The sequence below is a fragment of the Homo sapiens genome, chromosome 2 (assembly GCF_000001405.40).
Source record: "Homo sapiens chromosome 2, GRCh38.p14 Primary Assembly".
NCBI lineage: Eukaryota > Metazoa > Chordata > Mammalia > Primates > Hominidae > Homo > Homo sapiens.
This window is the reverse complement of record NC_000002.12, coordinates 44,992,448-45,015,688: the sequence shown is the minus strand read 5'-3', so window position 1 is coordinate 45,015,688 and position 23,241 is coordinate 44,992,448. Positions and strand designations below refer to the sequence as shown.

General features: G+C 53.5%; 1 protein-coding gene and 2 pseudogenes across 2 annotated transcripts, besides 6 other annotated features; 2 read left to right on the top strand and 1 right to left on the bottom strand.

The window, feature by feature from the left end:
* Positions 2,081–2,901: an enhancer, noted in NCBI's record as "H3K27ac-H3K4me1 hESC enhancer chr2:45239927-45240747 (GRCh37/hg19 assembly coordinates)". NCBI's record gives its function as "activates a minimal SCP1, AML or CMV promoter by ChIP-STARR-seq in naive and primed H9 embryonic stem cells {active_cell/tissue: H9 hESC(naive and primed)}" and the evidence as "EXISTENCE:reporter gene assay evidence [ECO:0000049][PMID:30033119]".
* Positions 5,165–5,764: an enhancer, noted in NCBI's record as "H3K4me1 hESC enhancer chr2:45237064-45237663 (GRCh37/hg19 assembly coordinates)". NCBI's record gives its function as "activates a minimal SCP1, AML or CMV promoter by ChIP-STARR-seq in primed H9 embryonic stem cells {active_cell/tissue: H9 hESC(primed)}" and the evidence as "EXISTENCE:reporter gene assay evidence [ECO:0000049][PMID:30033119]".
* Positions 6,237–10,507, top strand: SIX2 (SIX homeobox 2). Of its 2 annotated transcripts, none has more exons than NM_016932.5 (2): positions 6,237–7,138; positions 9,204–10,507. In NM_016932.5, exons 1-2 carry the CDS (start codon positions 6,579–6,581, stop codon positions 9,517–9,519), a joined length of 876 nt encoding a protein of 291 aa, NP_058628.3. In that variant the 5' UTR covers positions 6,237–6,578; the 3' UTR covers positions 9,520–10,507. The 2 variants fall into 2 exon arrangements, with proteins under 2 accessions (NP_058628.3, XP_005264157.1); XM_005264100.4 differs by having other exon boundaries at positions 6,237–7,144.
* Positions 6,769–7,542: an enhancer, noted in NCBI's record as "H3K27ac-H3K4me1 hESC enhancer chr2:45235286-45236059 (GRCh37/hg19 assembly coordinates)". NCBI's record gives its function as "activates a minimal SCP1, AML or CMV promoter by ChIP-STARR-seq in primed H9 embryonic stem cells {active_cell/tissue: H9 hESC(primed)}" and the evidence as "EXISTENCE:reporter gene assay evidence [ECO:0000049][PMID:30033119]".
* Positions 8,816–9,359: an enhancer, noted in NCBI's record as "H3K4me1 hESC enhancer chr2:45233469-45234012 (GRCh37/hg19 assembly coordinates)". NCBI's record gives its function as "activates a minimal SCP1, AML or CMV promoter by ChIP-STARR-seq in naive H9 embryonic stem cells {active_cell/tissue: H9 hESC(naive)}" and the evidence as "EXISTENCE:reporter gene assay evidence [ECO:0000049][PMID:30033119]".
* Positions 9,360–9,903: an enhancer, noted in NCBI's record as "H3K4me1 hESC enhancer chr2:45232925-45233468 (GRCh37/hg19 assembly coordinates)". NCBI's record gives its function as "activates a minimal SCP1, AML or CMV promoter by ChIP-STARR-seq in naive H9 embryonic stem cells {active_cell/tissue: H9 hESC(naive)}" and the evidence as "EXISTENCE:reporter gene assay evidence [ECO:0000049][PMID:30033119]".
* Positions 14,636–15,609: an enhancer, noted in NCBI's record as "H3K4me1 hESC enhancer chr2:45227219-45228192 (GRCh37/hg19 assembly coordinates)". NCBI's record gives its function as "activates a minimal SCP1, AML or CMV promoter by ChIP-STARR-seq in naive H9 embryonic stem cells {active_cell/tissue: H9 hESC(naive)}" and the evidence as "EXISTENCE:reporter gene assay evidence [ECO:0000049][PMID:30033119]".
* Positions 18,769–19,248, bottom strand: LOC124907760 (keratinocyte-associated protein 2-like; annotated as a pseudogene).
* KRTCAP2P1 (KRTCAP2 pseudogene 1) lies at positions 18,785–19,277 on the top strand (annotated as a pseudogene).

Below are 23,241 nucleotides of genomic sequence, written 5' to 3'. Positions count from 1 at the left end.
AAAGCCCACATTCTCCACTCTACTCACCGTACCTTTCTCTGTGTGTGTGACAGCATTTATAATAGTGTGACTACATTACAAGAGTTGGAACAAAGAGAGCTGACTCTACCTGTCACCTCAAACCAGAATACCACAGTGCTACTGGAAAGACACCTCTTTGCAGCTAACTCTGACCAGGTCCCACTGCTGCAGGCTCATGCGCAGGTTTCCCTGAGCGATCTGCCCTACCCAGCAGGGCTGCATCTTGTTTCTACCTGCTTCATTAGAGTGTTCTCACGGCACTGTGCATAAATTAATTAGCACATATTCTTCTACAAGAAACAGCCCCTGGGTTTTAGCCTTAATTCAGAGACAACAAAGTAAAGTATTGGATTTCCAAGTTAAGAACAATGCTGGCTTTTTCTAGGTTCCCTTTAAAAATGTAGAACTCGGTAGAAACCCTTATGTGGCTGCCTCCAATGGCCGGGTGGGAGTTGCCTCTTGCCCAGGCGCTACCCAAATGGGTAAAGCGAACAGTAGTCACCAGCCAGGCAGGAGGGGGTATCACTGATGAGTCGGGCTGATGCATTGTAATTAATGGTAATAAAAATAGATACCACATGAGAGAAGTGCCAAGCCAGGAATCTCTACGACAGGATAGAGTTTCTTTCAGGTAATGGAAAGAAGAAAAAAAGTCACTTCTAACAGGAAACCTGATCTACTCGTTGCCTACAGAGGATTTTTGTAAAGTAAGGAAATGCAACTGAAGACGGCAGCCCCAGAAAAATTGGAGTAACTCTACTTAGAAAACTTTCTTTCCTGCAGAAAGTGGTGGGTCTGAGCCAAGAAGAATGGGAACCTGGTGATGCTATAGGCAGTTAGACCTGGAATTTCTAAGGGCAGTGAGTTCAGTCTGTAGCTCCTCGGGCCCTGGGGAGACTCCAGCACCCAGGGCTCCTGGTTGAAGGAAAGCGTCCACTCTCTGAGACTTCCCCTCCAAGGAACAGGAGAGTAAGAGGGGGGGCTGGGAGAGAAGAGCGGGAGGAAAGAGGAGGAAGAGGGCCATTCTCCTATTGGCCGGGTCACTTCCCAGCTGTTGCTGTCAGTCAAACCCGATTGGTCATTCAGGCATCCATTCAAACATTTCCTGGGCACCCAGACGTTGCAGGGGAAACGTGTGATGGAGAAAAGCCAGCGTCTATCCCCCCAAGAATCCTGTGATCAGACCGTCTGGCAACCTAGTGCACCTCTGGGTTGTGTGTCTGTCTCCGAGGTCTCGCTCTTCGCGGACGCGCCCCGATTTTCGAGCCCTCCGTGCCAGCGCACAGGCGGGTCAGTGCTGGGGTGAGGAGGGAAGAACCAGCGGGCCCTCTCCGCGTCCTCTCCCTCCTCTCCCTCCTGGGCTACAGGCCTGCGGGGAGCCGAGCGCGCAGCCCCGCCGGCCTGAACTCTGGGCCCGCCGCGTGGGGGCGCTGGCGTGCAGACCCGGCGGAGCCATGGGGCCCGGGACGCGCAACCTCTCCAAAGCCCCATTGCAAAACAACCCGGCGGTGGAGCTCCGCGGCTCCCTGAACCCAAAGCCGCGAGCCCGTCCCCTCGCCCCGTGGCCCTGCCCGCCGCGCCCGCGCCCCTCCGCACCCAGGCGAAGGGGCCCAGGAAGGGACTCCAGGACTAAGGCGGGACCGCGGGCGGGGACGCAGGGCCGGGGGTCGCAGGGAGGCTGCCAGCGCCCGGGCCCGGATACCCGCCCCAAATCCCGCCTGGTCCCGGCGCCACCCGGGCCGACTCGCCTCTGTGCCGGCCTCCAGGCTGGCCCCGAGCCCCTGTGCTCGTTCTTTTCGTTTGAACAAGATCCCTCGTGAGCCCGCGGCCTCTAAACCGTTTGCTCTTGTGGGCCCTCCAGGCTGCCGCGTGGGTCTCAAGGTGAAGGCCTGGAGGGCAGAGGGGTGGCGGTGACCCCGTTGCTCCAGCTCTCGGGGCCTGTGACTGCCCCAGCCACGTGCGGCGCGGGCGACGCCGCGGTTCGCGCGGTTCCAAGAGTGCGACCGCCCGGAGCCCAGCGCCTCTCAACCTTGCCCGGGCTCGGAACGTCGCGGGGCGTGTTCTCCGACACAGAGAATTCGTGTGAGCCGACTGGCCTCGCCCTGACCTGCCCCTCTTAGGACAACACGGAAAACCGCTGGTGCAGGGTTTGCGAGTAGCTGGTTGCGTCCGCCGGGACCCGACAGACCGGCAGGTACGAGGGGCAGGTGGGGAGGCACCGGAGCCTCAGCGCAGCCCCGCCCGGCACCACCTGCCCGCTTTCAACGAAACACGTCGCCCAGGCCCAGAGAACTCCGGGACTGTCTGGGGAACGCGCCAGGCCCATGTCGGCTGGGGCGCTCGGAGCTGGGAGAGGGCGGAGAGCCTCCATCCAGGCCGGAGCATCCCAGAGCCCGAGGTGCGGAGCAGCATGGAGCGCCCGAGGCGGGCGGCGCCAGGGCCAGAGTCTACCCAGGGGATTTCTGCCGCCTTTATAGGCTGGAAAAATAAAGATCAAAAACAAACCGAAAAAAAAAAGCTCTGGTCCCCTGACTTGGCACCGAGCACCCGCCCCCTTCTCTTTTTCCCTCTGTCACAAACAAGGTTTCTGATTTGCCCAGAACAAAGGCCTACCCATCCGCTGGCCTTGGAAATAGCCAGAGAGCAGCTCCTTCTTCCTAGATTACCCTATTCTTTGCGAAACGGCCCCATCCCAAAACCAGGGAAGCCCTCGGGAGGCCAGTGGGCTGACTTCTTCCTTTGCCCAGAAGTGCACCCGCTGGGCGCGGTGTGCCAGCCCTGGGCTGCCCAATGGGCGCCGGACAGTAGGTGCCTTCTGGCTCTGTCCTGGGCGCTTCCTGCCCAACTCCAGGCACAAAGACCCCAAACTGTCCCTGACAATTCGTCTGGGACAAAGCTATTCCATCAGCCTGAGATCACTGGGGAGCACCCACCCACCCCTGCTGCTGCTTTCCAGAAAGTCTCATCCTCCCAGGGACTTCAGGGAAGCTTGGAGGTGAAAGGAGGTGTTTCAGTAAAGCTCAAATTTCCATGGTTCCGAAAAGGTTTCTCCCCCTAGCCATGGAGTTTCTCCCGTTTTTGCTGGATAAAAAGCAAGCACAAGCCTCTTGGGAATGGGTCTTTGGACAGGAAGGAGGACAGGGATTCCGGAGATTGGAGTGAGGTAGAACCAAAAGTTTCGGCACCCCGTAGGCCTCTCAGCAATTGCTCTGGGCACTGCAACTAGGGGGCTGAGATTGTCATTGGCTCAGGCTGGCTATTAAATCCTCATCCAGACACCTCCCAAGTATTCTGTTCTGTGGCAAAGACTATCGGGGAATGGGCCAGGCAGGGAAGGGGCTAAGGAGTGTGAGGAGACCCTCATTCAGCATGTAACCCAGCTACTGCTGCTACCAAGAGGTTCTGGCCCAGATGTGCTGGAACCAGTTTTCTACATACATGGGGGAGGAGGAGAATGAGGGGCATATTGACACACACCCATACATCGGGTAACGGTGCTCCAGGTTTTCAGTGCTTCCTCTGTAATGACTTTTCATATGGCACACAGTATGTTATCCACGGTGGCAGGCCCCATGTCTGTTCTGTTCTCTCTGTGCTGCTTAGTGTTGCCTGGAGGCTCCTGGCAGGTCTGATTCATGGGCTTAGGGCCCAGGGGCTGCAAAGAGGGCAGCACTTGGAGGAACAGTGAGTCTGAAGCTCCAGAAAAATCTGCTTTCACTGAACATAGGCGGGACCCAGTCCTGGGGGAAGTTTAATCTTAAAGCTTCATGGGTCAGAGGAGTGGCACATTCATGGTGAAGGCTGTGGCTGAGGTTGCAGAGATTGTATGCTTTTTCAGGGTTAGTGTTCTTAGACCCACCCCATCCCAGAACCAGCAGGAACTTGAGAGATTACCCAGGCTTCAATCTAATAGTGGAAGAGAATGAAGAGCAGACTGGGGACTGGCCCAGGGTCTCATACCAGGAAGTGACTGCCTGGTCTCACTCACCCACACCAGACCAGGGTGCTCCTCTGCAGCCCCAGCCTAAGCACGCTAAGATGTAAGATGGCCATTGCCAGGGCTGGGACCAGCCAGCCAGGTGAATCCTTTTAACCACGTAGCTGAAGGAGACGTGCTGAAAAGAGTACGTTGCACTTTTGTTGGAGGTCAGCAAATTGGGCTTTGAACCTCATCACAGTCTGCGGTAAATTCTTCTCCATGTCTCCCAGGGTCCTTAGATCCAACTCTGGGGCAGCCCCTGTGCAGCAGTGCATAGGACTCTGGATAGGGTGGCCTGGACACAGCAGACCTCCTCCCAGCCCACAGATACAGACTCTAAAGATGCCACCTGGATTTCTGCAGAAAGCTTCCCCTTTCTGCACCCGCACTGGCTTGGGACCTACTTTGTCAGCCCTGTGGCCTCATTCAACATGCCAGGGTAGGCCCCTGGAAGCTAAAGTCTTAAGAGGAGTCCCAGGGTTCCATTCTCTCATGCCTACAACACTCCCAAAGGACTTCCGGAATGCTGCAGCACAGGGAAAATTTTTGAAATCTTGCAGAGAAGGAAATAAACACAAAGGCATAAATATATGCCTTACCATAGACACCAAGCAAAACCAAAAGTTGAACCCAGGGCTCTAGACTCCCATTCCGCGCTCCTAGCACAAACTCCATAGAAAGCATAAAAGGGTGGGAAAGAAGGAACTGGCCTAGACTCGGGTTCCATAGCCCTAGACTGGCTGAGGGCAGAGCCCAGGATTTGTGCTGGCTTGGGTCAGGCACTGAGTATGGCCCTAGGAGCTCCTGGCCTGCAGCAGCTGAGGGGGGAAGAGGAGGAAACTGAAGGAAGTGGAAAGGACATGTCCGGGAAGGAGCTAAGCCCCGGGCTTTTCAAAACGTAGAGCAAGAACACACCCATCCTCAGTTCTCCCACCTTTGTGCGAGCCCTTCTCCCACAGGACCAGCACCACATGTTTCCATTGGCACCCTGACAAAGAAGCAAAAAACAGGACCCCCTTTTAAAGCACCTCATCCCGGAGCTCAGCGAGCCGGTTCCCAGGCTGGAGTGGCCAGGAGCCGAGCCGATCCCCAGCGGCGAAGCGGGAGGACTGGGAATCTTGCCTCCGTTCTCCTCCCCGACCACCCACCGGGGAAGCCCCACCACCGTCCTAGAGTCCCTGCCGTCGCCCCTCTCCCCCGCCCCGGTGGGCAGACTGCGGGTCTGCGCCGTCCGGGGTTCTGCGTCGCAGCTGCCGGCCGGAGTCAGCTTCCATAGAGGCCACACGGAACTGCCTGGCGCTCCTCGGGCTGTGGGACCCGTGGGGTTAAGTCTGAGTCCCCGCCCGGCGAGGAGCAGAGAGCGCAGAGTTGGGGCGGTACAGGCCGCCAGGCAGCCGGCGGGGCTAGGAGAGGGAGGAAAGGCGGGATCCTCCGGGAAGTCGATTCTCCGGCGTCCGCCTGCGGCCACTGCCAAATCTTCCCCATTTCTTTCGTCTACTCCCTCCCCTTTTCCCTCGAGGACCGCTGAGTCCAGAGTTTCTAGGATGGGGGTGGGGCGCTGTCAGCAGAAAAAGCCAAGTCTTTGGGCGGCACCCGAGCACGTCCAAACTCTCCCATCCCACTGGCCTGCGCCGGGGTAGAATGTGCCCGGTGAACAGAGAGCCTGGGAGGGACGCGGTGACCTGGGGAGAAGGGGAACCCTGTAGGGTCTGGGCGAGGCTGCAGAGCCCTCTCCTAGCCAAAGCTGCCCAAACTTTCTTCCCCTGGAGTCTCCTTCCACCCCTCTCCCTCCCCTTCCTCCTGGACACCCCCTTAAACGGTCTCCGCCTTCCCTTCTCTCCTCTTCTCTCCCCACCTCGATCCACCCCTTTTCGTCTTCGCCCGCTCCCCCCGCTCTCCTGTCCTCCTCCTCCCTCCCTCTTTGGGCATCCGCCCCGTCAATCTCCGCCGCCGCCGGCCCCAACCCGGCCCCTCTCCGCCTCCCAGGCTCTCAGAGCGCCCCAGGCTCCAGTAGAGCCGCCCTCAGTTCTGCGCGGAGCGGGGCGATCTGTCAGCGGAGCCGGCCGGGGGGAGCCGCCCGGCCCGCCGAGGCTCGGGTTACCAGTGACTGACAGCGTCTCCATGGCGAATAATTTGACTCCGACTATTGTCTGGCGCTGGCAGGCCCCGGGTCAGATAACCGGACCAATCAGGGCGCGGGCCGCCGCGCCTCATGCCCGCTTAGAATAATATTATTAAGAAAGCTGAGAGCCAGCTAGACGGGAGGGAGAACGAGTGAGAAGCGAGCGAGGGAACGGCGGGCGGGCGCGGAGCATGCGGAGCGGCGCCCCGGGCGGCCCCCGGGCTTGGGCGAGGGCTTGGGCCAGGCGCGCGGGCCGTTGGGGTTCGGAGCTTCGTGGGACCCGCGGCCGGCGCGGGGACGTACGGCAGTGACTCGGGGCTCACCGGGGGCCAGTGCCGGGCCAGGGGGCCAGCCCCGCCCGCGTCTCGGCCCGGACGGCCCGGCGAGGAAGCTCCCATGCGGGACCGCGCGGCCCGGTGAGGGCGCGCGCGGGCGGGCGGGGACGCAGCCGGCACCATGTCCATGCTGCCCACCTTCGGCTTCACGCAGGAGCAAGTGGCGTGCGTGTGCGAGGTGCTGCAGCAGGGCGGCAACATCGAGCGGCTGGGCCGCTTCCTGTGGTCGCTGCCCGCCTGCGAGCACCTTCACAAGAATGAAAGCGTGCTCAAGGCCAAGGCCGTGGTGGCCTTCCACCGCGGCAACTTCCGCGAGCTCTACAAGATCCTGGAGAGCCACCAGTTCTCGCCGCACAACCACGCCAAGCTGCAGCAGCTGTGGCTCAAGGCACACTACATCGAGGCGGAGAAGCTGCGCGGCCGACCCCTGGGCGCCGTGGGCAAATACCGCGTGCGCCGCAAATTCCCGCTGCCGCGCTCCATCTGGGACGGCGAGGAGACCAGCTACTGCTTCAAGGAAAAGAGTCGCAGCGTGCTGCGCGAGTGGTACGCGCACAACCCCTACCCTTCACCCCGCGAGAAGCGTGAGCTGGCGGAGGCCACGGGCCTCACCACCACACAGGTCAGCAACTGGTTCAAGAACCGGCGGCAGCGCGACCGGGCGGCCGAGGCCAAGGAAAGGTACGAGTAAGTAGACCTTCTTCGGCGCCAGCTCCCCGGGGCCCAAGGGAGGGGTTCGCAGGGCTTCTGCCGGTCCCCCGGAGAGGCCTAAACTGGGCCCCCAGGCCCGGCCACAGCCCAGCGGCAGCCCGGCCTGACTTGGACGATGCTTAGGCCTTTCTATGCCGGAGACCCGGCGAGCAGGGATTTGTCTAAAGCGGGCAGAGCAATTCAGGAAGTTGTCAACTAACTACTCGGTCGCTAGAGGAAAAGGGTGGAGAAGCAGAGAGCTTCGGGGCAGCGCAGAACTGTGGGCCTGTATCCCCTGTGAGGCAGGCACAGTAGGTCTGGTCATCCTCAGGACAGAGGGGTTTGAGCCCAGATGAAAGGGGATTTGCAGATTTCTTGCTGGTGGTGCTTCCCGGCATTTCCCCCCAGCCTTAGCTCCAGGCCAAAGTGTGATGGGGTCGGGACTGGGGCTGGAACTTCCCTAGAATGACCTGGATGGGGAAAAGCCAGGCCATGAATTTTCGTTGTCACATGGAGTTGAGAGCGGGTCCTTTATCTCCTTAGAAAGGATCCAGAGGTGAAAGGGAGGAAGTGTCAGTTCTGGGAGAGAAGAGACGCATGCCCTGTTTTCTGCCTTGCTAGAGATAGCCGCCCTTCCCTGGCACTCCAGGCCCTTGATGCCTCTCTCCTTAGGCCCTACCTCTGATGGGTAGGTCGGAATGTCTGCGGTGAGCTGAGAGGCACAGAGGGGCTGGGAGTTGGATGTCCTCAGGTAAACCAGGACTTCCTGAACCAGCCTAAAGGTTGATCATTAGGCCCTTGCCACTGCCTGCCCTATAACCCCTCAGGACCTCAAACCTGGAGAGAAACTTATTATGGGAACAGAATCCAGCCCGGGGTAAGAGCAAAACAGGACACCTGGGGTTGGTGATATGGGGTGTGTTCCACCCTGAGTTTGAATGATCAGGGTCAGAGGTGAGGGTGCTGAACCAGAAACATCTTAGGGGGAGTGCTGCAGGCTCAGATACTTCCAGGTATCTGAGACCCTGAGGTTGGAGTTTCCACAGTGGTGAGGTCTCAGCTGCCAGCCCTGTGGGAAGCTCCCTCCCAGGAAAGCAGAAAGAAAAACCCTCCCGAAGCTGGTGACAAGAGATCCTACCCAGGATTTTAAATATCCAAATCTGGGGAGGAGCTGTCAGTCAAAGGCATAGAAGGAGGTGGGTTCTCTCTGCTGGGTCCCCCTCCACCCAAACCGGCATGTGATCAGACTCCTGAAAACCTGGGTTCTCAGACCAGGCCCCAGATGAGAGCTGCAGATTCCCGGAGTGGCTGGTTACAATGGAAAAGCCTCGGCCTTCTCCCAGGGGCTGCCCTTTATCCCCCAAGCTTCTGGTCTCCGAGCTGACGTTTTCACTGTACCACCACGGAAAGGGAGTCCTCCATCCTTGGACCCTTGTCTCTAGGCCCAGCAAGGAGAGCCCTCACAGGGCTGCCCAGTTTGGAGCTACAGGGAAAGGACGCTTAGCCCCAGGAGCCTGTCTCCCAGCCAGGGGTCTCCCTCGGGCAGAAAAAGCAAAGGGAAATGAAGTCTTGTGAGAGGCCCTAAATCCCTTGACCTGGGATCCAGGGTTCCTTAACCTGCTAGCCCCACATCTACCCAGCAAACCTGGCTTGTGGAGCCTAGAGTGATCTGAAAATCCAGGCATCGTCTCTTCCTCCCGGCTCACCCCACAACTTCAGGGAACCCTGTTCTCCTGCACCTCTGTTCCTGAAAAGAAATATTGGGGAAGGGGGGAAAGAGGAAATATAGAAAAGATATTGATGAGATTGACAGCATGAGAGGTGGGGACGATAAGGGCAGAGGGGCAAGAGAAATTGGGTGTTGAGAGATGGAGAGAACGGGCAGAAAGGAGAACCCAGACCAGGTCGAGGAAATGGTAGAAACCGAAAACACCCGCAGGCCACAAGCCCGGGATCTGTCTCCCGAGGCTGGTGGCTGGCTCTGACTGTGACTGAGATGGCGCTGGGTGGTCTCGATGTCCCTGCTGACCCCGCTGCTTTGCTCCCGCACTTGCAGGGAGAACAACGAGAACTCCAATTCTAACAGCCACAACCCGCTGAATGGCAGCGGCAAGTCGGTGTTAGGCAGCTCGGAGGATGAGAAGACTCCATCGGGGACGCCAGACCACTCATCATCCAGCCCCGCACTGCTCCTCAGCCCGCCGCCCCCTGGGCTGCCGTCCCTGCACAGCCTGGGCCACCCTCCGGGCCCCAGCGCAGTGCCAGTGCCGGTGCCAGGCGGAGGTGGAGCGGACCCACTGCAACACCACCATGGCCTGCAGGACTCCATCCTCAACCCCATGTCAGCCAACCTCGTGGACCTGGGCTCCTAGAACCCATTTGCCTTGATGAGCTTGCCTTTTGTGACTTGACACTGGGGACGTGGAGTGGCGGTGTCCAGGGGCGCCCCGCCCCTGCGGCCCCACCAGGTACTGAAAGACCCGCAGGCTGAGCGGGTAGAACAGCCGGGTAGGGCAGATAGCTGTCTATGTTGGTTCTTGTTTGGGATTTATTTTCAACAAGTTACTTTTAGGATCCTTTTGGGGCTGGAGACTGAGTCTTGAACCACAGAAGGGAATAAATTATACACCACTGTCATTCTCTCTCTCCCTCTGTCTCTTCCTTTTACCCTCTCTTGTCTTGCCTTTTCCCCCTTTCCTCTTCCTTTCCCTTCCTTCTCTTTTCTTTTTTCTGCTTTCTGTCTTTCTCCCTCTCCTTGTATTGCTTTCCTTCTAGATTTCTAGCTTGCCACCGTTCATTCTCTCCTTCTGTCTCTCCCTTTCTCTCTCCTTCTCTGTTTCTCCTCTCTTCTCTCCTGCCAGTCTCTTGTACTCTGTGTCCTGGTCCCTCCGTATGTACCCCTGTCTTTCTCCTCCTGACTGGTGGTCTATCTGCCCCTACCTCTGGCCCTCGCTTTACCGGAGTAGGGGGTGGGAGAGGGAAGAGGAGAGAAAATACAGGGACTTTGAACCTAGGCCATCTCCTGAGGCCTTTTCCCTCGCCCATGTGGGTCAGTGGGAGCTGCAGGTGTCAGCTTTTCGTCTAGTAACTTAAGTGAGAGAGAAAGGGCAGCGCCACAGAAGCCCCTAAACGCCGCCTCGTCATACGCCCCTCCTCCTTCTCTCTTGGCGAGGCCCCGCCACACCGCGCTCTTCCTCCCGGGACTGTGACTACAGCGCTCCCGGCTGAGCGCGCCCCCCGAGCCGCCGACTTGCCGTCTCCCCGTAATGCCCTCATGTGAATGTTCTTCGGGAAATATTTCTGCTTTTATTTTATAATAAAATTAGAAATCATAAATATATAAATGGTTATATGCCACAAGGCCCGCGGGCCGGGAGTGCAGCTGTGTCTGATTTCCCTACCAAGACTCGACACCCCGGGTGGGCCGTTCTGGTTGGCGATGCTCTCTGGTGAGTCCCGAAACAGCCAGACGCCTTCCTATACACACGACTTGTGTCAGTCGCTAGGTGAAGGCACTGAAATTCCTGAAACAGCTCCCTCCCTTTTCCTGGCTGGGAAAACTCGCTGCAGAAGCGGGGAGGGGCAGCCTGCTGCCCTCCCCACACCAGCGACGCGCACAGCCCTTGCCAGCCTCTTTCTCCACCTCGAGGTCGAAGTGGAAGACGAGAGAGCTTGTGCCGAGGGCGGGTACGTGCCTTCGGAGATGCCAAAGCTGGGGAAGAAATTGGGCCGCAGAAGTTTCCTGCCGCGCGTACTCCTTGGCGGTGGTTGCAGTCTCCGAGACTGGGCGCGATGCGCTGCGCGGATTTGCCGGTCCCAGGCTCAGACCCCCAGACTTAAGCTCCAGACGCCCAGTCCCGGTGCTGCGTGTGGCAGTGGAGCAAAGGTATTCGAGCTCGCAAACCTGCTTCTGTGGATTTGCAGTGAAACTGAAGGGTCAGGGAAGGAGGGAAATCGGACTCAGGGCGGCCGGGCCGGCGGCCGCCTCTGCTCTGTTTCTCCCTTTCTCTCTCCCTCTGTTTCTCCCTTCTTCTCACCTGCCAGTCTTTTGCATTCTGTGTCCTGGTCCCTCCATCTGTACTCCTGTCCTTCTCCGCCTGTCTGGTGATCTATCTGCCCCTACCTCGGCCCTCGCTTTCCCGGAGTGAGGGGTGGGAGAGGGAAGAGGAGAGAAAAGACAGGGGTCAGACTGAGCTGGCGGCTCCGGCTCCGCGCATGGGGCGCCTAGGTGCTTCCGTGGCTATCAATTAACCTGCAGCGCCCCCTCCTCTCTGGAGTGCCAGCCCCCCCCTTTAAACGACGCATCTGAACCAGTCCAGGCAGATCCGTAGTGGGCAGGACTCCGAGAGGAAGAAGTTGAGGCTTTCCCTTCTCGGGTCGCAGTGGCGGTAGGTACTGACCGCGTCCCTCAGCGACCAGGGCACCGCGGCCGGGCGGAAGGGAGGGGATGAGGCGCTCGTGGCGCCCCGAGTTCCTAGAGCACTGTGTCCTCTCGGGGCTTTTCCTTTCAGCATTTTCTGGTAAAACCGGGATAAAATCAGAATACCCTTTCGCTTGGACTTTCTAAGCGCAAGGATTCCTTCCTAGTTGAGATTAGAGCGGCTGCAGGCTGCTAGGCCAGCTAATTTGGCGCTGGAGCCTGGACCTCGGCCTTGGATCTGTGCAGGCCTGGAGGTCAAGGGGCTACCCCAGAGGCTGGGACTGCACGGAGTGGCTGCAGTCCTCTGCCTGGGGTCGCACCATGTGTCCCTCCACCTTTGCACCCCAAGAGGAATTCCGGTCAAGGCAGTTCCTGCGGCCTCTCCTGGAAGCTCTGCTCTCAGGGACAGCTCAGGTCCTCCCGGGAACTGCTCTGTGTTTCTATGGCCTGTGTGGGCCCAACTTCTGCTGACTGACAGGGTGAATGGCAGGCTACTGCCTGAAGGTCTCAAAAGATTCAAGTGATGCCTGAAGCCACCTTGGGACAGCCTAGCCAGCCACACAGGACTTGGTGATGTCCCGTGAGGTGCCAGAGCCCACTCTTCTATGTACTTACTTCTAGGGAGGAAGAAAACAGTAGCCTCTGTATCCTGTCTCGCCCCTGCCCGTCCCCCATTTTCCAGTCTCACAATCACAGGAAAACAGGCTCTATACCAACTTCCACAAGGATGGGAACATACACATTTAACATTAATTAAATTCAAGATTATTAAGAGCCTGCTATGTGCCGGGCATGGTAGACAACACCAAATCCCCTCACCCTCTCACGCAGCCACCACTCAGGGAAACACACAGACTGTCACACACATGTTCACCCCTGCACACATTAGCACAACAGACCCTCCGCCCATTTTCAGACACACAAACACATCCTCAGGCACTCTCCCACACTGATATACATGGGAGATACCTGCACAAATGAACCCTTCCTCATGCCTGTGCCCACACACACACATACACATCATGCTTCTCCACAGAAGCACACAAACCCACAGCCACGCACTGGTGCCCTGGCTAAGCTACCAGTCCCTGCCCATCGACCTGCTAGAACAAGACCCAGCCATGCAGCATGGATTGCTGGGAAGGCCTTGACACCTGGCTGCTTGATGCCAGAGAAAGAGATGGCCCCAGGGCCCAGGTGGCAGCTGCTGAGGGATGCACCCCAGGCACTATCTCAGCCAGCCCAGGTGGGATCTCAGCAGTTTGCCTGGAGTTTTCACCTGCCGGTAGGGGTCAGGGTGCCAGTCCCAGGCTTTACTCTGGAAAATGAATCCCAGCATAGGGGCACTACTTGTTGCAACTCCCCTCTTTTCCTCCCTCTTGGAAAGCTAACCAAGAAAATATTTAAATAAATAAAATTTTAAAAAATATTTAAATGGAGAGGCAGGTACTACATGGAAGTTCTGAAAATAAATTTGGAAGCTACTCACCTACTGCACAAATCTATGCAGGCCAGTCCTCAGTTCCTCACCTGGGAAGACCAAGCTGCTGTCCTGACCTGTGAATAACATTCACACAGATGTTGCTCAGTTGATTACAGCCACTCCCTGTCGGCATCCCCACTGAATAGGATTCCCAGTGGCTTGTCACCTCTCTGCCACCCTTCACCCCCTCACCCTGTAGCAGTCGTGAAAGTCACCAGTTTTGTTCCAGCCACCTAAAGTGACCAAGTGACTGGAAGTGCCCAATCTTCTTTTCTGCTCCCCTGAAAGCATTTGCTACAAGACATCTTTCATTTGTTCCCAACCAGGTCCCATGACCAGGGGGCCCTTTAGGGTGAAACCCCATGAAGAAATAAAATCCAGCCCTAGGGGCAGCTGGCTAGACCAGAGACAGGAAATCTGCTTGGGGTCATTAAAGCCCCGGGCTACAGGGGGCAGAGGAGAGTATGCGGAGCTCGCGGTGTGTCCCTGTCAGTCTCCTTCCCACCCCCACCCCGGCGCCCCGCTGACCCTCTCCAGGACTCAAATCCCTACCCCAAATGGTATCTTGAGGGAGTGGTGCCTGCCTGGGGAGCTGGTGGTGCCATCGCATTGCACCAGGAAAAGTTAAACAGAGCCAGGGAGATCTGGTGAGAGAACAGGGTCTACTCAGTTCTTGGTTATCTTTAGTCGTTGTAGGAAATACAGTTTTGGCCAATGAAAAAGGCAGGACCAGCATCCTGGGAATTTGGCCTCCACAACCCCCTAGGGCCCATCTGCCGAAATCCGCCAGGGCGCTGGGACAGAAATAAATGTTTTTGTGAAGGACAGTTGAAGAAAAACCGAAGAGGAGAGGACTTTTGACTGGGCCCCTTCCTTTTTCATCGTGTTCCCATCCTAGCAGTAAGACTTCAGTCGTCTGGGCCCTCAAAGCTGCCTAGGAAAGGCTGGAGGGGCAGGGAGACCCAGTGGCTGTGTACTGAAAGATGTGAGCTGACGTGAGAGAAAAAGCGTGCACCGCGAGAGGGTGAAAAAACACCCCGATGAGCGCCGAGGCGGCGGACGTACACCTCGGGAGGGTAGCAGCCCTTTAGTACACAGGTGTAAGGGTGAGCCCAGAAGCCCAGGAGCCCACCAAGCGCCCGGCGGAGTCGGGAAAGTCAGGCTGAACCTCAGGGCTCCCGCACCTAAGTGAATGCGCCGGGGCTAGAGGAGGATCAGCCTCTCCATTCCTGCCGCCTGAACCTCCGCCCCCAGCGCGGGTTGGTGCTCCTTCCTGGAGCCGCTGCCGGCGGCCGGCTGGTGAGCAGGAAGGGAAGAAGGAACTCCTGGTCGCGGTGGTCGGGGACCAGGCTACCGAGCCGAGACTGGTCCTGAAAGACCTCGCGTCCAGGTGTCAGGGTCAAGGTTCCGAGCGACCTCGCGGGAGTCTCTTTTGGCAACTCCGCGGGTGCCTCTGCGGCTGGAACTCGGAAATGGTTTCTCCTGGGTTGCAGGATGGAATCGAGTGCAGAGGCAGATTGGGTGCCCTCCGATGGGGTGTCTTCCACGCCGTTTCCCCACAATCTCGGCGGCAGGGCAGCTCCCTCGCCTGGCAGATGCCCGCCCCAGGCCGCCCTGCAGTGGAGAAAGTCTCCGTTACACCTCTGGGGATAGGTCCGAAGAAGGCCTGCCGCCTCGCCAGACCCAAGAGACGACCCTAGCTGCCCTAGAGGACTCTTTCTTGGAAGGACCCACAAATCGGAGAGGCCGGCACAAAGGCGGACATGAGACTAAATCAAGAGCTAGCAGCGGCCCAGCCTACCCTGAGCACCAAGCGCGTCCTCCCTCCCTAAGTACTGGGTACCGACCTCACCGCAGGCCGGCTCCAGGAGGGATACAGGGCTCCGCCTACTCTGGGCGACCTAGGCCTCCAAAGACCGCAGTGCAGCAACTCCCACTTGCCCCGGCGGGGGCGGCTTTCCAGGGAGAGTAACCAACGCACTGCTCGGGGTAATGCGAGGCTCTGGGCCCTGAGGTCAGGGGAGCGTGGGACCTTAGGACTGGTCAGCCCGATTCCCTTCGGCCCGTTGAGCCGGCGGCCTGGCCGTAGGACAGAGGCCTGGGACCCAGGACGCTTGAGCCGCCCCGCGGGCGACAAAGCCATCTGCAACTCTGTCATTCCTAGTAGCTGTTAGGCTCAGAAGACTCCACCACTGCCAATCCAGGGCCCCCAGGCCGACACCCGGGATTCTGTAGTCCCGCTGGGGAGCGCTGTCTCGGCTGCTCCAGCCCGAGAGTCAGACTTAAGCTACCTGAGATCGTCTAAAGAGTAACCGGTCTGTGGGGCAGGAGGGTAAGAGCAGCCGCAGGGTGCAGGCGCAGTGGTGCGATCATAGCTCACTCGAACTTCTGGGCTCAAATGATCCTCCCTGCCTCAGTCTCCCCAGCAGCTAGGACTACTGGCGCGTGACCATGCTTGGCTAATTTTTTTAGTTTTTTGTAGAGATGGGGTCTCCTTACATTGCCTACCCTGGTCTTGAACTCCTGGGCTCAAATAATCCTCCCACCTCAGCCTCCCAAAGTGCTGGGATTATGAGGGTGAGCCACTGCACCTGGTGTATAACTACCATTTATTGAACATATACTATGTGCATAGAGCAGTTTAGACACTTGGTATCTGTTTAATTCTCACAGAGCCCATACCAAGAAATTATTATTACCAGTATAAGAAACGAAGGTGCCAGGATCAGGAACTTGCTGGAGTTACACATTAATTACAGCAGCAGGACGAGCATTTGAACTCAGTCTCAGAGTTTGCAGCCACTTTCTTCCCAGGATGCCGACTGCCTGTGAGTGAGCTCAGTGCTTGAGATTGGAGCCCCACATGGTCCAGGAGCTCTGGATAGCAGGGGCGGGTGTGGTGACTCCCACGGTGCGGGGTCGGTGGGGGGATCTGGACAGCTCTTAGATGTGGGGAGAGAACACCGTGCTACTCAATCCTCAGTTAGTCCTTGTAGGAAATACAATTTTGGCCATGAAAAAGGCAGGGATCAGCAGCTCTGGGGCTATGTGAAACGTAGACCGAGGGGTGGTAACAGAACTCACAGCCTCAGTGATCACCTTAAATAGCTTAAATCCTGTGAAAGAGTTTATATCCTCAACAATTCACAAAATTACTCTTTCCTCACTTGCTCTCTACTGTGTAGACATGACTCACGGTCCAGCAGCCCAGAAGGGGTTTCTACCAGTGCTGGCTATTCCAGAGTAAAGATGGAACCGTGGAACCCCAAGGTCAGCCTGCTGCTATCTCCCTCTTTCCCCTCCTTCTGCAACCTCCACCTGGTCTCAGCCACTCAGCTCAGGAAGATGAGACTGAGGATGATAGAAGGACCCTGAGGGCTGAGACATTAGTCCTTGTGGGATGTCCTCCTCTCCCCACCCCACCCTACCCCATTAATCCCACACTGGTGGGTTGGGGGCAAAGTTCTCTGTCTGGGAGCCAGTATATTAAAGCATCATTCCAGTCACTCTGGTTTACCACTGCAGAGCAAAGAGGCCAGGGAGGGAGGGGGAACCCAGACCCTGCTCTCTAAAGACCAGAACAGAGCTGGCCATCTCTGCTCCCCCAGCCTCACACAGGCCCCACTGGAAGCCTTCATCCCCTTCTCCACCTGCGGAGATATTGGTGGTACAAGCTCTCTGATTTCACCAGAGCTAGATGATTCTATCAGTTTTAAGATAAAGTGTATGAAATAGGCTATTGTCCTGAGGCAAAGCTTTTGGTGACACGGGAAAGCTACCATGAACTGATGAAGGAGGTCACCCATCCAAGCCTAGCGAAGTGAGCTAAACTTAAGGGTGATGCTAAACTTAAGGAGATAAACCCAGAAGTGTGAGTACTCCTCCCATTTCCTTCCCAGGGAAGAGCCCTGGCACTGATGGGGTGGGGAAGGTGGCCAGAGAGAATTAGAAAAGCAGAGAAGGTGAAGCTGAATCGTTTCAAAAAGCAAAGTAATATGAATAGTTCCTAGCATTCTTTATGTGGTACTTTGCAGAATTTCAACGGTTTCACAAAATTCTCATTGCTTAATATTCACAATTATATAGGTAGGCAGGAAAGTAATTCTGGTCCATGTTTGGCAGATGAGAAACTGAGGCTCAAGATGTTATGTGTGGCTCTCCTGAGGTCCCAGAGCTAATGGAGGCTCTTTCTTCTACACTCTACTTTTGAGGTGAGTTGTTAAGTTTTGGGGAAAGAGCAGATACCAAACCAGCCCAAAGAATAAAGATTGCTCTCCTGGGATTGGGGGAAGGATGTGGAGAGATGGCAGCCATCATGGAGGTCTAGATGATGCCACAGAGACTTAAAGTAAAAGTATCTCAAAATCAGAACAATCTGCCTCTGAAATCACTAAAAGGAATGCCTGAGGCCACTTCCATACAAGAGAAGCCTGGGGAAGTGGATAGAACTGAGAACCAGAGCTTTGTTCTGTCACTGGACTCGAGACCTGTCAGTTAAAGCTTTCAGCCAATGAGCTTGGAGCCAGAGATTTTCTTAGAAGGTCAAGGTTTTGTAGGTGATGCCCAAAGAGCTGCAGATTTTGTAACTGGAGAAAATGAGAAGGGACTCAAGGCTTTTGTTTAATCTGAAAGCCTAGACCCTGGTTAGACCCTGATGTTGGTCTGGAGCCTTAAGTGTAGACGTCAAGAATCACTTTTTTTTGTTTTTGTTTTTGTTTTTGTTTTTTAAGACGGAGTCTCACTCTGTCGCCCAGGCTGGAGTGCAGTGGTGCGATCTCGGCTCACTGCAACCTCCACCACCTCCCGGGTTCAAACGATTCTCCTGCCTCAGCCCCCTGAGTAGCTGGAATTACAGGCATGCACCACGATGCTCAACTAATTTTTATGTTTTTAGTAGAGACGGGATTTCACCATGTTGACCAGGCTGGTCTCGAACTCGTGACCTCAGGTGATCCGCCCATCTCCACCTCCCAAAGTGCTGGGATTACAGGCGTGAGCCACAGTGCCCGGCTGAGAATCACTTTATAATTTATTTATTATACCTTAAAGGAGTAGGTAAATCAAGTGCCCTGAAGGCGAATAATATTCAATGGCAAGAAATGGGAAGGGAATTAGGGGCAAGGAATGAGTGAAGACAAGAGTGATGACAAAGGGTGATGGAGGTGAGAGTCCAGGATATCTGGAGCCAAGACACAAACTTGGAGTCAGGCAGGCGTCAGCCAGCAGCACCTTCCTCCCTAGAGACCAGGAAGGAGCCAAGGAAGGCACAAACGTGTAGCACCACATCACCTAGAGACAACTAAGATGTGTTGGGCACCAAACCAGAGACCAGGAAAGACTAAAATCCCAACATACCTGGTAGCATGTCAACAAAAACCTACCTCAAACTCAAAATCTGCCCAACACAGGTCAGCTTCCAACCCAGATGGAGTTGAGGTAAAGAACAGGAAAAAAGACTACATAAGGTGTCACTGTAACAAATAAATTCCAAAACATAAGCTTATTTTTCACCCACCCAAAAGTTCAATAGGAGTGCTTCCGGTGAGCAGGTGGTTTCCCACAGGGAGATTCAAGGACCCAGGCTCTTTTATCAAATGGTTCCATCCTCACCTAGGACCTTAGAATCCTTTGCACTTAGTTGCTGGATAAGTAACGAGTGTGGAGGACAGGCATGGGAGGTGTGAGGTGGGGGCCGGTTTAGAAGTGGTACACTTTTACTCTTTTTTTTTTTTAAACAAATAATCAACTTTATTGAACATTCAAGGTCAATTTCTCTTCTTGCTCTTGCCTGTGACCTTGGCAAGAGCCAAGGTCCTGTGAGGACTGCAGCTGCTGCCTGATACAGAGTGGAGATCTTGTTGATGTAGCACAGACCAACCACGGAGAAGATGAAGCAGGTGGTGACACAGACTCGGTGGATGAGGCCAGATGCAAAGAGAGCCAACAGGAGGCACAGGAGAATCTCAGGGAAGGTCTTTGCTTGGGATCCTTTGCCAAACACAAGATTCTCCAGAATCTTGAAGGCAGTGAGGGAGAGCACGAAGAGACCTGAGCCATGCAGGCCACCCTGGATGGTAAGCCACTCGGTGGAGGCCAGCTGATGGATCTACATCTGCATCCCAGTGAAGAGCAGCAGGGACAGGAGGGAGGAGATCGCCAGTGAGGTGTCTGTACCCACCACCATCATGCCCTGCCTGTGAGTCAAATTGGCGCCTCTGACCAAGAAAACGGCACTTTTACTCTTATTCAATTGGCTGGAGCTTTGTCACATGACCAACCAACTGCAAGGGAAGCTGGAAAATGGAGCTACCTGTGTGGCCAGGGAAAAAAAATCCCAGGAAAAGGATTTACTGAGTGTGTATGAAATGTTAGTCAGTTCTCAGTGATTTTAGAACAGAAGCAACAGTGCTCTGTAAATTTCCTTTTTCTATGCATGTGTAGTTATTAGTGTTGCTGTTTTCACTATCATGGTGTTTGCATAGTGTTTTGGGGATTGTATTTTGTTTGTTTTGTTTTGGGGTGGGTTTTTTTTTTCTTATCTTGTTTTTTCTGTAGTGAAGAATGCACATAGAGGTACTGCATGAGATCCAATTCCTACAAGTGACCACAAGTCATTTCATTTCCTCATTGTTGCATAGAGTAATAATTTGGGCAAGTTGCAGCTGGAAGTAATTTTTTTAAAAAGCCAAATGAGAGGTCTCAAGCAAAATAGAAGATTATTTCTCCCACACATTAAAGTCTAGGTAGGCAGTCTAGGTTTGGTGCAAAGTCAAGCTCCTCCTACTTAGTTGCTCCACTGTATATAATCTCAATCTCATGTCCCAAGATGACACCAGGAAGACTGAAGAAAAAGGTAAAGTCACATACATTCTGTCTCTTAAGTAAGATTCCTAGAAGCTGCTACACAACATCCCATTGTCCAGAACCTAGCCTCAGGATCACACTGCACTTATAGGAAGACTGTGAAATATGGGCTTTATTTGGGACAACCATGTATTAATACAACTAAAATCCTATTGCTGAAGAAGGAAAGAACATTGTATCTGAACTCATTGGGAATTGAACTTGTTTATCTCCAAGGACCTTTATTGTTGTTCTGACTTTCTATAAAACCAATAACACAAACACAAAAATAATAGCAAATTGTATATTTTAAAAAGTTGCTTAAAAAACAGCACTACATCAATTTGTTAACAATAACCCGTGGCTAATTTATTTGTAAAGTTTAAAATCACATCAATAAGAATATCTCCAAATATATATAATGTAGTTTCAGAATTCTATCCACTGAATTTCCTTAGAGTGGGACAATTGTTATTTTCCCATGCGTTCATGTGACAATGTTTTCTGCAAATGTGGAGAAATATTGGGGGGATTTGTAACCTTTTTCATTGCTAATAAAAATAGTAAAGTCTGCAGAAAAATTTCTGTAACTAGCTGTACAACCAAGGAAGAATCACCCCACTCCTTCATTCATTTATTCAACATTTCCCTTGTTCATCTATCCCATAACTTAATATTTTCTAAGTACCTGTGTGCTCAGTACCAGATATGAGGATATAAACATCATTTTTCCATCTTCATTGGAAACAACTATAGCCTGGCATATGGCTGACCAACTACATGACCTTTCCCAGCCTATTTTGCTGTTAAGTGTAGCCCTAAGACCATGTTTTTTCTAAAGAAATGTTTGAGTGGACACATTGTGAGCCACTTCAAGACCCAGCCGATAAGATCTCCCACCTGTGCTTCCCCATACTGTTTTTCCCTTTCCATTTCCTTGTTGAATGGCAAAAACCAGAGTCACCTCGGAAGTCATGCTTTGAAAATGGCAGCGCTATCGTTAGCCTGGGTCCCTAAATTACTACATGGAGTGGAGCACTGAGTAACCTCCCTCCCGCAACCTGGGATAGCTGTCCCAGAAAAAGGAAGAGATAAACTGCTTTTGTGTTTGAGCCAACATGTTTTGGGATCTATTTCCTACAGTAATTTAGTCTAATTCAATTCCAGAGTATCACCAACCCCAATAGGCACCATTCACACTGTGCTTTATCTGCCCCTGGAGCACAACAGCCAAATTAATAAACTAGATAAATGTGATGTGCATTCTAGGCAGAGAATCTCCAATGTAGATAGATGACTGGATCTGTGTCCTCATTTATAAAGTGGAAAGGCATCCTTTCCAACTCTAACATGTGTGATTCTCTGGGATAGACCACAGCAGGCAGCAGAGAATCTAAAAGAGTAAACTCTTCTGGAATCAATGCTTTCAATAAGAATGTTCTTTCCCTGAAAGCCAGAGAGGGTAGCAGCCTGTCAAAGAGTCCAAGGAATTCTTTTCTTCATGATCGATGGAAATGGGGGAGTGGGGTAAAGAGAAAGTGGGTATAGGGAGAGATCAACTGAGGCCAACACTTAAGGTTAATGGAAAAGATGAAATTCTGATTTACTCACACAGAGCAACCTGCACACGTCTCCCATCTTTATCTCACGGAGAGAGCACTAGATGGGGAATCAGGAGGTCTGGAATTTTACCTCCATCTTCACCTTCCTGTGCAACCGTGAGCAAGTCAGCAAACTCTGTGAACTTCAGTTCCATGATAATAATGGGAAAGAGGACTGTCCATAGCCTCTTATTTCATAGATGTGACAGAGGAAATATGATCAGCACAGAAAGCAACCTAAAATCTTTGGAAGACAGACCTTCAGAATGATCACATGGATAAAAGCATTGGTCCTTTAGAAGTCACATAAAGTAGAGCAGTACTCACACTAACACACTAAGTACTGGGTTGGAAAATAATTAGTTAAACCTACTGTCTTTGAACTGCTGTGCTGGGATTTTAAAATGAGTTTCTTGGGGAAAACCCTCCAGTTTAATGGCAGTGAAAATGGCAGAATAAGGAATTCCAAAAGCCCACACTTCCATAAAGGCAATTTTTTTAATTAGCAAAAACTGTCAGAATCAACCTTTCTAAAACTCTGGAAACTAGATAAAAGCTTGCAGCAACCCAGGGAGCACTTATTCAAGAAGCCAGCTGAATCTCAGTAAGAACAAAGAGCTTTGTGACATTTTGACTTACCCCTAGTTCCATCCCACGCTCACCATCTCAGCAGTAGTCTTGAAAATAATAGCCCACATCAGAACTAATACAGGAGGGAGCAGATGGACCTCGTTTACAAATTGTCCTTAGTTGATGGTGGTGGCTCCCAGAAGTCCTGTTGAAAAGATTTGACTTTATCTTGCCAGCCTAAGTTGTCTTATGCCAAAGTCACTACCAAAAGGCATTTATCAATAACAGTTATAGGCAAATGTTTTAGCTTCTGCTGCCTAAGGCAATGGATAATGGTTGGGCACACAATAGGCTAACCCAAAAGCTTGGGAGGAAAGGCTGGGGAGTGAGATGCTTTGAGAAATAAGAGCTTTGTAAAGATTCAATATATTCTTGGGAATCTAGAAGGCCATGTGCATACCCAAGGTTGTGTGTGTGCCCAGGTAAGACCTGAGAAGGCTCTAATAGGGTTCTTATCTCTGGTTGACCTTGAGGCTGTGCACAAGCAGAATGTAAAGCAGTGTTGTAAAATTCCTAGCTGAGTGTTGAAGACATGCCCAACATACACACTTAGTCCTTCTGCAAAGACCGGGTGTTTTTGTTGTTGCCATTGTTCCAAGTGTTTAAGGAAATCTCTGTCTAATTAGCTGACTACTAAGCTAATGGAACAGAGATTTCAGTGGCCACATATGAAAAAGAATACAGAATTTACTAAATTAGTTTAGAAAAGTCACTAAGCAAACAGCAACAGTAGCAAATGCTAGAGACAGGGTAATATCTGATTTCCAGAGTTGCCACATAATATTGAAAATATACAGCTTTAATAAAAGATTACGAGGCATGCAAAGAAATAAGAAAAATTTCCCACATGCAGAAAAAAATGGAATCAATAGAAACTGACCCTGAAGAAGCCCATACATTGGACTTACTAGATAAGGACTTTGAGATCAGTTCAAAGAACTATAGGAAACTCTGTTTAAAGAACTAAAGGAGGCCAGGGACAGTGGCTCATGCCTGTAATCCCAGCACTTTGGAAGCATTGCTTGAACCCAGGAGTTTGAGACCAGTCTGGGCAACATAGTGAGGCCTCATCTCTATAAAAATAAACAAATGAATAAATAAAAAATGTTTAAAAGAA